Below are 15,795 nucleotides of genomic sequence, written 5' to 3'. Positions count from 1 at the left end.
GTAAATCCCAAAACTATAAAAGCCCTGAAAAACAACCTAGGCAATATTATCCTGGATATAGGAACGGGCAAAGATTTCATGACAAAGACACCAAAAGCAATTGCAACAGAAGCAAAAATTGACAAGTGGATCTAATTAACCTTAAGAGCTTCTGCACAGTGAAAGAAACTATCAGCAGGGTGAGCAGACAACCTACAGAATGGGAGAAAATATTTACAAACAATGCATCTGACAAAGGTCTTATATCCAGAATATATAAGGAACTTAAACAAATTTACAAGAGAAAAACAACCCCATTAAAGTGTGGGCAAAGGACATGAAGAGACACATCTCAAAAGAAGACATACATGTAGCCAATAAACATATGAAAAAAAGCTCAATATCAACTGATTATTAGAGAAATGCAGATAAAAACCACAATGAGATACCATCTCACACCACTCAGAATGGCTATTGTTAAAAAGTAAAAAAAGTAACATGCTGGCAAGGTTGTGGAGAAAAGGGAACACTTATACACTGTTGATGGGAATGTAAATTAGTTCAACCATTGTGGAAAGCAGTATGGTGATTCCTCAAAGAGCTAAAAGCAGAACTACCATTTGACCCAGCAATCCCATTTCTGGGTATATATCCAAAGGAATACAAATCATCCTACCATAAAGGCACATGCACGTGAATGTTCATGGCAGCACTATTCACAATAGCAAAGACATGAAATCAACCTAAATGCCCATCAGTGACTGACTGGATGAAGAAAATGTGGTACATATACTACATGGAATACTATGCAGCCATAAAAAAGAACAAGATCATGTCTTTTGCAGGAATATGGATGGAGCTGGAGGCTATTATCTTTAGCAGACTATCACAGGAACAGAAAACTAAATGCTGCATGTTCTCACTTATAAGTGGGAGCTAAATAATGAGACCTTATGAACACAAAGAAGGAAACAACAGACACTGGGGTCTACTTGAGGGTGGAGGGTGGGAGGAGGGAGAGGAGCAGAAAAGATAACTATTGGGTACTGGGCTTAACACCTGGGTGATGAAATAATCTGTACAACAAACCCCCATGACATGAGTTTACCTATGTAACAAACCTTCACATGTACCCCTAAACCTAAAATAGAAGTTCAAAAATTAAAAATAAATTATTTGCCCATTTTTAATTGGATTATCTTTTCGTTGTTGATTCATATGAGTTTTTAAATCTATTCTATGTACTATACCCTTATCAGATATATGATTTGTAAAAATTTCCTCCCATTCTATGGGTTGTCTTCTTACTTTCTTGATAGCATCCTTTGAGGACAAAAGTTTTTAATTTTTATGAAGTCTAGTTTATTTTTTCTTTTATTGCTTGTGCTTTGGCCATCCTATCTAAGAAACTACTACCTATCCTGAGGGCATGAAGATTTTCACTTATTTTATTCTAAGAGATGTATAGTTTTAGCTCTTAAATGTAGGCCTTTGATCCATTTTGAGTTAATTTGTGTATATGATGTGAGATGGGGATCAAATTTTTTTCTTTTGCATGTGGATATTCAGTTGTTTCAGTAGCACTGTAAAAAGACTATTCTTTCCCCCATTAAATTGTCTTGGTGCCCTTGTTAGAACTCAATTATCTGTAGTTTTATTTCTGAATGTAGTTTTATTTCTAAACTTTCAATTTTTTTCCACTGATTTATATGCCTGTCATTATGCTGATACCACACTGTCATGTTTACTATAGCTTTGTGATAAGTTTTAAATCGGGAAATGGGAGTCCTCCAACTTTGTTCATGCTTTTCAAGATTGCTCTGGGTCCTTTGCATTTCCATATTTTAGAATCAGCTTGTCAGTTTCTCAAAGAAGTCAGCTCGGATTCTGATAGGGATAGATTAAATCTGTAGATCATTTGTGGAGTGGGGGGTATTGTCATTTTAACAATGTAGGAATATTGCCATCTTAAAAATATTGTCTTCCAGTCCATTAACATGGCATATCTTTCTATTTATTTCATTTTTTAAAAAATATATTTTTCAGCCAGTTGCGATGGCTCACGCCTGTAATCGCAGCATCCTGGGAGGCTGAGGCAGGTGGATCACCTGAGGTCAGAAGTTTGAGACCAGGCTGGCCAACATGCTGAAACCCCGTCTCTACTAAAAATACAAAAAATTAGCCAGGCATGGTGGTGGGCACCTGTGATCCCAGCTACTCGGGAGGCTGAGGTAGGAGAATCGCTTGAACCCGGGAGGCTGAGGTTATAGTGAGCTGAGATCATACCATTGCACTCCAGCCTGAGCTACAGAGTGAGACTCTGTCTAAAAAAAATATATATATATATTTATATATATACACACACACACACATATGTGTATATATATATATATACACATATGTATATTTCAATGATATTTTGTAGTTTTCAATGTATATGTTTTGCACTTCTTTTGTTAAATTTATTTCTCAGTATTTATTTCTTAGTATTTACTTCAGGCCAAGCCTGACGTAGGGACACGTTTCAGGAGGGAGTGGAATTACAGGGTCAAATAAGGACATAGTGGTCTGGCCCCAGCCAAGACCTCCTCTCTGCCTCTGTTCTTAGAAAACAAGGGCCATTCCCTGGCTTTAAGGGTCACTTCTGGGACAAAGGTCAGGGAAGGCATGGAGAAAGCTGTAAGGGATGCTCAGGAAGGAACCTGTCAAGCTTGTGTGTGGCAGGACCACATGAGCACATTTAGGAAGGGACAAAGTAGGATGGGAGCCCCGGCCTTGCCAGCCCCAAGGCCCTGTACTTTACTGATACTCAGCCGTTTTTCTTGAATACTTCCCAGACTGATGCAATCCTTTGGTTAATTTCCAGTGTTTTGAAAAGTTGATCCTGACCATTTTTGTCAGTGTTCTCACTGCTTTTATGGAGCAAAAATGTTCAGAGGTCTTTTCTCTACCATTTTCACAGGCATACAATAACATTCAGTAATAGCTAACACCAAGTGCTTCTTCATCTATGCCACGTAACTCTTTTTTGAATGTTGTACATCAGCTTGTTACAGTATCTTATGTTCTATCAATCAAGTAAACTAATTCTACTTTATGTATAGGAGTCTATTTGAAATACATTTAGAAACATTATTTTAATAATTGTGAAAGTTAATGTAATTCATTTAGCTATACAGATAACATTTGAGCATTTACTGTATGGCAGGAATTAAATTATTTTAAAAAGTTTTAATTCTTTTATCTATATGAAATAAATATTATTATTATTGTCCTCATTTACAACTATGTAAAGCTCAGACAGGATAAGTAAATTGTCCCAGATTAAATGCTAGGATGTGGCACATCTGAGATTGGTACCTAATACCCTTGTCTCCAGAACCTAAACTTTAGCCTGAACTTTGAACAATTTAAAAAAAAGATTTATTGAGGTATAATACTGTTTAAATGCCATAATTACAAGGAGGTTTTATGCTTCCACTTATCCCCAAATGCTCATGTTTTTCACTCTTTTAAAATCAGAGAAGTAAACAAATCATTTTATTATTTTAGATTACTTCACCTATGGAAAGAAATATAATGGCAAAAACATAAACTTTTAGAGTGGTAAAATCTAGGTTTGAAACCCATTCCCACCATTTACTGGGTTTATGACATTCAGCAACTTAACACCTTCGAGCCTTGGTGTCTTTATTTGTAAAATAGCAGCTCAGCTCATAATGCCAACCTCGCTGGATGGTTGTTGCAGGGCCCTGGACAGGAAGAACCACTGTGACCCTTTTAAATGAAATGGTAGAGGTATGAAGACAAATTTCACAGATAAAGAGCATATGAAACACAAATAAATGCAAACCTTGGTAAGCAAAGAAATGAAAATGAAAATGAATTAAATTCCAAAGATGTGAGTATGTGAGTAGTAGGTTGGGCAGAACCTTTTTAGAAAATATTTCAGTAGTGGTTTCAAGTGTCCACTATTGTGTTAGACTGTCCATATCATTTGGACAGGCAAGTCTACATCCAGCAACCTATCTTTAGAAAATAGAAATACCTGCAAAAATCAGTATACAATGATGTAATCACCAAAATCTAATAGGAGCTATGTTAATTATGGTTCCGTTTTAGGTTAGAAATATTTTGTCATGAATGCATAATACAAAAATGTGTGTGCAATTTGATGTACACACAAAACCAAAAATATGTAAATAAGTAGTTCAAATTATTATTAGTAAGTGGTAGGTGTTAACTTAAAAATCACAGCATTTATAAGTCTAGAAAAGAGAACTTTATTTCTTAAAAAGGGGATTACAAGCCACAGGCGAGAGCATTGTTTCCAGCTTAAAACCCAAAGCAAGCACTTCGAGGAAGGAAGGGATAAGATAGGAATTTAAGTGGACCAGGTTAACCAAATATACATATTCAACAAGATATAGGGGGAGCTATGAATATTCATGAAAAGGGTTGTGTGCATGAGTGATAAGGAAACATACACGTTACATGCCCACCTTGGGGTGGAGACTTAACATTCAAATGTATTACAGTTAGGCCCTGTACCTCAAAAGGTCTTTTCAGGACATGAAGGCATTTGAGTGACCAGCCTCCCTAAACTGGCCAGAACCAGTCCATAGTGGGTAGTCTTCTTAACAGGAGAAGGTTATTGAAATCAGTCTCTTGTCCGATTGAAGCTATAGTTATGACATCTGGAATAAGGAACTCAGAAAGTGTCTGGTGGTTGGCAAGCTGCAGCTGCTTCAGTATTGCTTATCACAAGGCCAGTGCTTGTTTAACTGCTAGAGAAAAAGAAAAACCTTGTGACAGCTAGAACAGAGTTCATTCTTTAAGTGTAATAGTGCATAACTTAACCCTTGCCTAGATGGCCTTAGGTCCTGTCTATAATTTGGTATCTTATTGCCACAGAGTCTGTTCTTTCAGTCTTATAACTTCTATTTTAACATAAATGCTGGTCAGTTGTGTGTAAACTGCAAAAGGGAGGGGTTATAGTGAGGTGTGTCTGACCTCCTGTCCTGTCATGGCTGTAAACTCAGTTTGGGGTCCCCTTGGCCAAGAGGTAATCTGTTCAATCAGTTCTGGGGCTTAGGATTTTATTTTTAGTTTACATAGGATTTGGATGATTTTTAGGTATTTAATCTTTCTTTCCTCTTTTCCATGTTTTCCAGATTTTCCAAAATGAGCATACATTACTTTTTATGAATAATGAAAGTATCTTAAAAATTCTGGAAGGGGGATTAAAAAAACAGTGGTTCTTATTTTGAGGCTTCTCTGTTACCATCTAATGGGTCTTTAAGGGAATATATAAAAATCATTTTTAGTTTATTATCTTTCCCAAGGGTAGTAGGGCCACATTCATCCTTGATTTCAGGATAATTGACAATGACATGTTTTACTTGATCATGCTGTGATCACAAGTATTCTTGTGATTTGAGCAAAAGACTGGAAAATAAGACAGAGGTTAAAATGAGAGGTGGCAGGAATTACAAAATGGTAGAGTAAGGAACTCAGCAAATTATCTTCCAAAAAAGCAATAGTAAAACTGGACAAAATAGTCAATAATAACCATTTCAGGACTATGGACATCAACTCTTACAACAAATTAGGAAGCATTTATTAAAACACACACACACACACACACACACACACACACACACACACACACACACACAAACTACTGAACCTTGAGAAGAAGTATGAAAGCCTGTGGCAACTTTGTCTGGGGCTGCTGCAGTCCCTCCTTTTTTTCCCCAGCTCTGTCAGTACAGTCAATGAAAATCAGCAGCTCCATTGCCAGAGCGAGCTGACTTGATTTGGAGCACAGTGGAAATACCCCATGACTCTGCCTGTGTTGAAACCTTAGCAATGTTGGTGGTATATGAATAGAAAAGGCCAACATCACAGCTGGCCTGAGTTTGAGATCCTGGTTGGGGCAAGCAGTAGACTGGCATGTTAGCCACTCCAGGGAAGGAGTCAGCCATACTGAGCTTTAATAAGTACCTGCGTATCCCTGGGGGTCAGGAAGCTACGTGCTCACATTCTGGAGAGACTGAAAAGAGCCTTTGCTATCAACACATTTCTGGTTAAATGACAGGCCTTGTGCAGTTACAGAGGAGACACAAGAGGGCCTAGCAGAGAGTAAAAGCTGGGCCAGGCTCGTTCACGGCCTGAGCTTTGAATTGTCCCATAATCGATGCATAGATCCATCAGCAAGGGTAGAAGCTTTACTAGTACAAAGTGTTTGAGCACAGCCTCTGACCAATTGTTGGTGACCACCAAGCAATGCTAACACAGCAGTGACCCCTAGGAAGCCAGGCTTAAAAGTAAAGTAATAACAAAAATACTGAACAGAGAATTTGTGGTCACAAATCTCAGAATACAGATTCTCTTTCAGTGCACATGGAATTTTCTCTGGGAGAAGTCTTAATGCTAGGCCATGAAACGAGTTTCAATAAATTTAAAATGATTGAAATTATACAAAGTATGTTATCTGACCATAAAGGAATTAAATTAAAAATAAACATGAGATAAAAAATTGAGGAAATCCTCACATACTTATAAATTAAATAGTGTGTGTCTTAATAGCCAATGAGTCAAAGGATGAATAATAAGGAAAATACTTTAAAGATCAGAACTGAAGGAAAACGAAAATGCAGCATACCAAAATGTATGAAATGTAGCCAAAGTAGTGGTTAAAGGGAAACTTGGAGCTGTAAATTCATATGTTAAGAAAGAAAAAAGATTCCCAAATCAATAACCTAAGTTTCCACCCTAAGAAACTAGAAAGAGAACAGCAAACTAAATGCAAAGAAAGCAGAAGGAAAATACTGGAGTAGAAATCACAGATCAGAAAAGAGTAAAAACAGAACAGTAAATCAATGAAACCAAAGTTGGTTCTTTGAAAAGATGGACAAAACTTACAAACCTTTTGTTAAACTGTCCAAGAAAATAAGAGAGGAGACACAAATGACCAAAATCAGTAAAACAGGAGAACACTGCTCATAACCCTTTAGAAATTAAAATGATAAGAGAATACTGTGAACAACTTTATGCCAACTCCATAGACAATTTGGTTGACATGGAAAAATTCCTTGAAAGGTAGAAACTTATCACAACTGAATCAAGAAAAAAAAAACAGAAAATTTCAATAGACATATAACAAGTAAAGAAATTGAGTTAATAATTTAAAAATCTTCCCACCAAGAAAAATTCTAGCCCAGGTTACTTTGCTGTTGAAATATATCAAATGTCAAATATTTCAGAAAATAGAAAAGGACAGGCACAGTTTTTGTTTTTGTTTTTGTTTTTTTGAGACAGTCTTGTTCTTGTTGCCCAGGCTGGAGTGCAGTGGCGTGATCTTCGCTCACTGCAACCTCTGCCTCCTGGGTTCAAGCAATTCACCTGCCTCAGCCTCCCAAGTAGCTGGGATTATAGACACCCGCCACCACATCAGGCTAATTTTTGTACTTTTAGTAGAGACGGGGTTTCACCATGTTGGCCAGGCTTGTCTCAAACTCCTGACCTCAGGTAATCCACCCACCTTGGCCTCCCAAAGTGCTGGGATTACAGGCGTGAGCCACCGCACCTGGCCAAGGCACAGTTTTATTCATTATGAGACCGCTATTATCCTGATACCAAAGACAATGAAGACATCACAAGAAAACTGCAGACTAATATTCTTCATAAATACACATATAAAAACCTTCAACAAAAATATTAGAAAACAAAATCTAGAAACATACAAAAATGATTATATACCACGGCCAAGTGGGATTTATCCCAGTAATGAAAGGTTGGGTCTATATCCAAAAATTAATTAACGTAGTATGCCCTGTTAGTAGAATGAAGAACAAGAAACACATAATCACCATAATAGGGACAGATAAAGCATATAACAAAATCTAACATCCATTTCTGATGAAAACTTTCCACAAACTAGGATAAGAAGGAAAACTATGAAAAACATATAGCTTATCATACTAAATGAAAGACTGAATGCTGTCTCTCTAAGATTAGGAACAAAACAAGGATGACTTCATTCATTATTTATATTTACCATTGTATTCTAGTATAATGAAATAAGACAAGAAAAATAAATATTATAAGTCATCCTTATTGCAAAGGAAAAAGGAAAGCTGTCTTTAATCATAAACATGTGTCCATAGGAAATCCAATGTAATGCATTTTTTAAACTACTAAAATGAATGAACAAGTTCAGCAAAGTTGCAGAATATGAAAGTCAATATATGCAGAAATGATTGCATTTCTACTACCAAAGAGCAATTGAAAAATGAAATTAAGAAAACAATTCCAATCCCAGTAACAATAACATCATCAAAAAAATAAAATAGGAATTTTTTTTTTTTTTTTTGAGACAGAGTCTTGCTGTGTCACCCAGGCTGGAGTGCAGTGGTGTGATCTCGGCTCACTGCAACCTCCGTCTCCTGAATTCAAGCGATTCTTCTGCCTCAGCCTCCTGAGTAGCTGGGATTACAGGCATGCACCACCACGCCCGGCTAATTTTGTATTTTCAGTAGAGATGGGGTTTCTCCATGTTGGTCAGGCTAGTCCCGAACTCCCGACCTCAGGTGATCCACCCACCTCGGCCTCCCAAAGTGCTGGGATTACAGGCATGAGCCACCACGCCCGGCCTAGGAATAGATGGACAAAATTTACAAACCTTTTGTTAAACTGTCTAAGAAAATAAGAGAGGAGACACAAATGACCAAAATCAGTGAAACAGGAGAACACTGCTCATAACCCTTTAGAAATTAAAACGATAAGAGAATACTGTGAACAACTTTATGCCAACTCCATAGACAATTTGGTTGACATGGAAAAATTCCTTGAAAGGCAGAAGCTTATCACAACTGAATCAAGAAAAAAAACCAGAAAATTTAACAAAGGTAGTGCAAGATTTGTATGCTGAAAATTACAGAACACTGCTGAGAGAAATTAAACATCTAAATAAATGCAGAGACATTGATTTGGAAGATTCAGTATTGTTAAGATGACAATCTTCTGCAAATTCATTAGACTTTTTTGATAGGAAAAATCCCAGTGAGCACTTGTTGTTTTTGTCGAAATTGATGAGCTGATTCTAAAATTTATATGGAATTCAAAGGTAAAATAATTTTATAAAAGAACAACAAAGGTGGCAAAATTACAATTAGTGATTCCAGAATTTACTGTAAAGCTACAGTAATCAAGTTAGTATGTTACTGGCATGAAGAGGACATGTAGATCAATGCAGCAGCATGACAGTCAAGAAACAAATCCTTACATTTATGGCCAGTTGATTTTTGACAGAAGTGCTAAAGCAATTTAATGGGCAGAAGACTAGGTTTTTTTCAACAAATAGTGCTGAGACCTTTGGATAGTCACATATATAAAACTTATTTTAGAACCTTGCCTCACACTGTAAACAAAAATAAACTCAAATGGATTTTGGACTCAAATATAAGACTTTGGCCAGACGCAGTGGCTTACGCCTGTAATCCCAACACTTTGGGAGGCTGAGGCAGGTGTATGACCTAAGGTCAGGAGTTCAAGACCAGCCTGACCAACATGGTGAAACCCTGTCCCTACTAAAAATACAAAATTAGCCGGGCATGGTGGCACATGCCTGTAATCCCAGCTATTTGGGAGGCTGAGGCAGGAGAATTGCTTAAACTGGGGAGGCGGAGGTTGCAGTGAGCGGAGATGGCACCATTGCACTCCAGCCTGGGCAACGAGAGTGAAACTCCATCTCAAAAAAGAGAAAAAAATAAATGTTAGAGTTAAAATTATAAAACTTCTAGAAGAAAATAGAAGGAAATATTTATGACCCTGGGTTAGTGAAGGGGTTTGTAGATATAATACTAAAATATGATTAGTATAAGAAAAAAATGATAAATTGGACATTATCAACATTTTAAAATGTTGTGTTTCAAAAGACATAAGTAAATGAAGACAAACCACAGACTGGTGAAAATATTTGCAAATCATATGTATGATAAAGTTCTTGTACACAAAATATTTTAAAATTTTTACAATTACAATTAATAATATGAAAATATATCATCCAGTTTAAAATTTGGTAAAAGGTTTGAATAGGCATTTCACAGAAAAAAAAGACAAAGGGCTAAAAACCACATGACAGTATTTTCAATACTATGTATCATTGAAGAAATGTAAATTAAAGCCATAATGAGATAATACCTCACACCCACTATAATGGCTGTGATCAAAAATATAATATCAGGTGTTGGTGAGGATGTGAAGAGAATGAAACTCTCATACTTTGCTGATGGAATATGAAACAGCACAGCCACTTTTCCTGATATGTACCTATGAACAGTGAAAACGTGTCCACATAAAGAGTTGAACATGAATACTCATAGCAGCATCATTCAGGTTGGCCAAACGTGGAAACAGCCTGCAGTTCCATCAACTCATTTGGTGAATAGATCAACAAAATGTGATACATCCATATAGTAGAATACTATTCTGTAATAAAAAGTTACCATACATTCTGCAATATGAATGAATCTTAAAACGTTATGCTAAGTGAAAGAAGCCAGATGCAAAATATTTTATATATTTTTTTACGTTTATATGAAATATCCAGAAAAGGTGAATTTAGAGACCAAAACCAGATTGGTATTGTCTGGGGCTGGGAGTTTGAGTAGAGGTGGTCTGCAAACAAGCATAAGGGATTTTTTAAAAATAATTTTTAAAAAATTTGTGGGTGCATAATAGGCATATATATTTATGGTGTACCTGAGATGTTTTGATACAGGCATGTGTAATATGTAATAATTACATCATGGAAACTAGGTTATTTATCCTCTCAAGCATTATCTTTTGTTTTACAAATAATCTAATTATACTTTTAGTTTTTAAATGTACAATTAAATTATTATTGACTATAGTCACCCTATGTGATATCAAATACTAAGTCCTATTCATTCATTCTATTTTTTTGGTAATCATTAACCATTCCCATGTCCTCACCACCTGCCCGCTACACTTCCCAGCCTCTAGTAACTATCCTTCTACTCTGTCTCCATGAGTTCAATTGTTTTGATTTTCAGATTCCACAAATAGGTCAGAACATTCAATGTTTGTCTTGTGCTTGGCTTTTTTTTACTGAATAAATGACCTCCAATTCCATATATTGTTGGAAATGACTAAATCTCATTCTATTTTATGGCTGAATAATACTCCATTGTATGTAAGTACCACATTGTCTTTATCCATTAATCTGTTGATGGACACTTGGTTTGCTTCCAAATCTTGGCTATTGTGAAGAGTGCTGCAACATACACGGGAGTTCAGATATCTCTTTGATATACTGATTTCCCTTCTTCTAGGTATATACCCAGTGGTGAGATTGCTGGATCATGTGAGAGCTCTATTTTTAGTTTTTTGAGGAACCTCAAAACTGTTCTCCATAGTGGCTGTACTAATTTACATTCCCACCAACAGTGTACAAGGGTTACCATTTCTCCACATCCTTGATAGCATTTGTTATTGCCTATCTTTTGGATATAAATTATTTGAACTGGGGGAAGGTATCTCACTATAGTTTTGATTTGCGTTTCTCTGATGATCAGTGATATTGAGCACATTTTTATATGTGTGTTTGCTATTTGTAGATCTTCTTTTGAGAAATGTTTGTTCAAATCTTTTACCCATTTTTAAATCAGATAATTAGATGTTTTCCTATAGAGTTGTTTGAGCTCCTTATATATTCTAATTATTAGTCCCTTGTCACATGGGTAGTTTGCAAGTATTTTCTCCTGTTCTGTGGACTATCCCTTCAGTTTGTTGATTGTTTCCTGATATGGTTTGGCTGTGTCCCCACCCAAATCTCTTCTTGAATTGTAGTTCCCATAATCCCCTTGTGTTGTGGGAGGGACCAGGTGGAGACAGTTGGATCATGGGTGTGGTTTCCCCCATCATATTCTCGTGATAGTGAGTTCTCACGAGATATGATGGTTTTATAAGGGGCTTCCCCCTTTGCTGGGCAGTCATTGTTCCCCTTGCTCCTACCATGTGAAGAAGAATGTGTCTGCTTCCCCTTCTGCCATGATGGTAAGTTTCTTGAGGCCTCCCAACCCAAGCTGAACTGTGAGTCAATTAAACCTCTTTCCTGTATAAATTACCCAGTCTTGGGTATGTCTTTATTAGCAGTGTGAGAATGGACTAATATATTTCCTTTGCTGTGCAGAAGCTTGTGCACCAGTGAATTGCCTTCCCTTCAGGGTGGCAAGTTCTTCCATGTTCTGTGCCAGTCCAGAGGTGCCATCCGGGAGCCAGGGACTAAAGTCAAAAACCTTAGCTGTCTACCTGGTGTTCTATTGTATTGCAGCTGAGAAGGCACTCAAACCACAAGATGTAGTCTTTCCCACTCTTCTCTCCCCTTTCCAAAGGCAGAGGTGTCTTGCCCTGTGGCTACAGCCACCTCATGCCCACTGGGAGTACTGCTAGACTGCTGCTGATGTTCCCTTAAGGCCCAGGTGCTCTTTATTCAGCTTGTGGTGAGTGCTGCCTGGTCTGGGACTCACCCTCCAGGAAAATGGGCTCCCCTCTGGCCTAGGGAAGATTCAGAAATGCCTTCCAAGAGCCAAGTCCTGGAATTGTGGGCCCCAAGAACATGCTTGGTGCTCTTCCCCCTTGTAGCCAACCTGGTACCTAAGATACAAGACGAAATCCCATTACTTTTCCTTTCATTTTTCTCAAGCAGAAGAAGTCTCACCCCATAGCCACTACAACTGGGAATATACTGACTCTCATGTGAAGTCAGCAAGTCTTAGGCCCTCAGTGTAGTATGTTGGTATCACTGCTGGTTATTCAGTGCCAAAGGACTCTTCAGTTAGCTGGTGAAGAATCCTGCCCATACTGAATCTTTCCTCCAAGGCAGTGGGTTCCCTTCTGGCCCAGAGTGTGTCTAGAAAGGTCATCCAGGAGCCAGGGCCTGGAAAGGGGGCCTCATGCCTCTGACTGTTGCCCTATCCTACTGCTGCTGAGCTGGTATCCAAGGTGCAAGACAGAATCCTCCCCAGTCTTCCTCAAGCAGAAGAAAAGGAGCTACAAACTGTGCAGCCTGGGGTCAGAGGAGTGATACCAGCATGCCCTTAGCTATTCCAGCTGGTGTCTCAAGAGGTCACATGCCCCCCCAGTTCACTGCCTCTGAGACCAGTTCAGCACTAGGACTTGCCTAGGAGTTGCAGACTTTGTGGCCTAGACTGCTGTTGAAGTTTATTTGGGGCCCCAGAGCACTTTAGTCCATGGTGGCTAGGCTTGCAGGAACTTAAGTTTTAATTGCTGGGATCAGTGATTTGCCTCTGGCTAGGGCTGGTTTAAATGCTCCCTCTGTGGGTGGGCATCAGCTGAGTTTGGTCTGGTTTTGCTTTCTTCTATAACAAAGGCAACACTGAGTTAAATGCCTCACAATTGCTGGCTGTTCCTCTACCTGACACACAGAAATACTGTCTGCACCGTGCTGCCACAACCGAACATGGGGGAGGGGTGGCATCAGTGATTTAAGATGTTTTTCCTACCTCTTTAGTGCTTTTTTCAGCAATATGAAGTTAAAACCAGGTACTGTGAGTGCTCACCTAATTTTTTGGTTCTTATGAAGGTGTTTTTTTCTGTGTATAGTTGTTAAATTGGTGTACTTGCAGAGGGGATGATCAGTGGAGCCTTTTGTTCTGCCCTTCTTGGTCTAAGGGATCTTTTTGAGATGATGGGATTGTTCTACAGTTGGACTCTGGTGATGGTTGCATAAGTCCTTAAATATACTAAAAATCATTGAATTTTACACAAAATATGGTAAATTTTGTGGCATGTAAATTATACCTCAGTAAAGTTTTTTTTTTTTAGTTTTTATTTCAATAGTTTTTTGGGTACAAGTGGTTTTTTGCTACCTTAATGAATTATATAGTGGTGAATTCTGAAATAAAGCTGTTTTTAAAAAGGGAATCAAATGGTATTCAAAGAAAGGTTCCAAGAGTGCCAGTTATTAATTTAAAATCATAGGTGTAAAATATGCATTGTAAAGAATGTTAACCATTAAAAAAAGAAATGAGCTACAGTGTATTTTAATAAGCACACTAAAGTGTCTTGGGTTCAGAATTGCTTCTCTTCTCTTTTAAAGACAGAAGAATCTTCAGTGAATTTAAACTTCAGCAGAAGGGAAAACTAATGGAATGAAATTCCCTATACTAATCATGCAACATTAGAATGAATGTGTAAGGGAGGCCACAGAACCATCTTCTATTGGCCGTTAAACTCAGTACACAGCCATATAATATATATCGAAACGTTTTACATATTTAAACAGGCTATTTTGCAATCTCACTATTTCCTTGTAACTGTACCTAGAGCTATTTGATACCATCACTGAAAATGTGCATCCTAATTTTGTAATTTTTAGGTCATGATGAGGAAAAATAAAAACCATTTTGGCTTAAAGAACAGATGATTCTATAAATGAATCAAATCATCAGAAGTCTGAGATCAGTTTTACAAGTTCACTCTAACCTGAAGTGAGCATTTGCAAATGATTGTAAATGATTGTACATACAGAAGAAAGGTGAATAGGTAATCTGAATAAATGAGTTTATCTACACTCTTGGATGGGTGCTACCATTTACTCAAATTCTCATGGAGCTGCCATTGTGGAAAAAAACTGTCAATCAAAGATGAAGCTCTAAAAGCAAATTGAAAATTGAATTGAAAAGTAATTTTACTTTCAAGTGGTTTGCAAATGTAGATGTTAAGTTTGAAATGAATGCTGTTAATGACCATAGCTGAGTTATAAACCTGCTGATCACTAGAATATTATTATAAATGAGGTTGATTTTCCCGTCAACTACCCCATTTTCTCTCAACATAGTCTCATTACTTTTTCTATCACATTGCTGACCCTTAGCTGTGAATGCTCACTTACGTATGTAACAATGTATTAACTCATATATGGTGTTTTTTAAAAATGAATCCTTAAGTACAAGAGGAGTAATGCTAGTGTTACTTGTCTCTTTCTTCTTTGTTAGGTTACAGGAGGTTTTTGATGGTGAAAATCAAGCCTGTATTACAAGTGAAGAGCTGTTTTACAAGCAGCCTCCTTGCAGCAACTAAATTGCCCCCAAAAAAGCACATAAGTGTAATGAAGCTTTTAAGTAGTCACACATATGCATTTATATTCTCTCTCTCATGAATGACTAATTTTAATTTTTTTAAAGTAGCAATTCAGCTTGCTTTTAGAACCATTTAAGCTTTGCACATGATTTTGTTTTCCCCCCAAAGCCAACTATTCTTGATTATGAGATAGGGGAAGGTTTGCATATTTATTTTTGCAAAGACAGTAGCATAAGCCCTCATCACCATATGGATGGCTTAGTCCTAATATCTCTGTCTTAAGCTGGGCACATGATCATTTAGAAATTCTTCCAGACATCGGAGCCATAATGATTAGACTTAACTGAGAACTATTTTGTGCAAACCAAAATCTGAGTTCTGTGAAGATAAACCTCATGCTGTGAGCCTAGCATTTGATTCCTATTGAGTTTTGCAGTCTAGAGGACCCACCTCTTAATAAATGTGTTGGATTACGTTGAAAGATACACTATAGCAGAGGAGTGAATCTTTCTTTTGGCTTTTCACACAGTCTTCTGTCTTGCATGCTTTTCCCCTAGATGTGTGCATGGTTCCTACCTCTACTTCGCTCAACTCAGCTTAAACGTTGCCTTATGTGAGAGGCCTTCCCTAACTACCCTTTCTAAAATAATACTTCCCACCCCTATCAGTCTGTATCACTTTTTC

General features: G+C 37.5%; 1 protein-coding gene and 1 long non-coding RNA gene across 29 annotated transcripts in view, besides 1 other annotated feature; one reads left to right on the top strand and one right to left on the bottom strand.

Annotated features, from left to right (window-relative positions):
- The window catches only part of CFAP20DC (CFAP20 domain containing), a 333,853-nt gene that overhangs the window by 81,178 nt on the left and 236,880 nt on the right, over nt 1–15,795 (top strand). The window lies entirely within an intron of this gene.
- Nucleotides 1–15,795, bottom strand: part of CFAP20DC-AS1 (CFAP20DC antisense RNA 1) — a 194,623-nt gene that overhangs the window by 50,246 nt on the left and 128,582 nt on the right. The gene's annotated exons all lie outside the window — the stretch shown is intronic.
- Nucleotides 13,092–13,691: an enhancer, noted in NCBI's record as "NANOG-H3K27ac hESC enhancer chr3:58940883-58941482 (GRCh37/hg19 assembly coordinates)". NCBI's record gives its function as "activates a minimal SCP1, AML or CMV promoter by ChIP-STARR-seq in naive H9 embryonic stem cells {active_cell/tissue: H9 hESC(naive)}" and the evidence as "EXISTENCE:reporter gene assay evidence [ECO:0000049][PMID:30033119]".

Source organism: Homo sapiens, chromosome 3 (genome assembly GCF_000001405.40).
Source record: "Homo sapiens chromosome 3, GRCh38.p14 Primary Assembly".
NCBI classification, from domain to species: Eukaryota; Metazoa; Chordata; class Mammalia; order Primates; family Hominidae; genus Homo; species Homo sapiens.
This window is presented reverse-complemented; position numbering and strand designations above follow the sequence as displayed.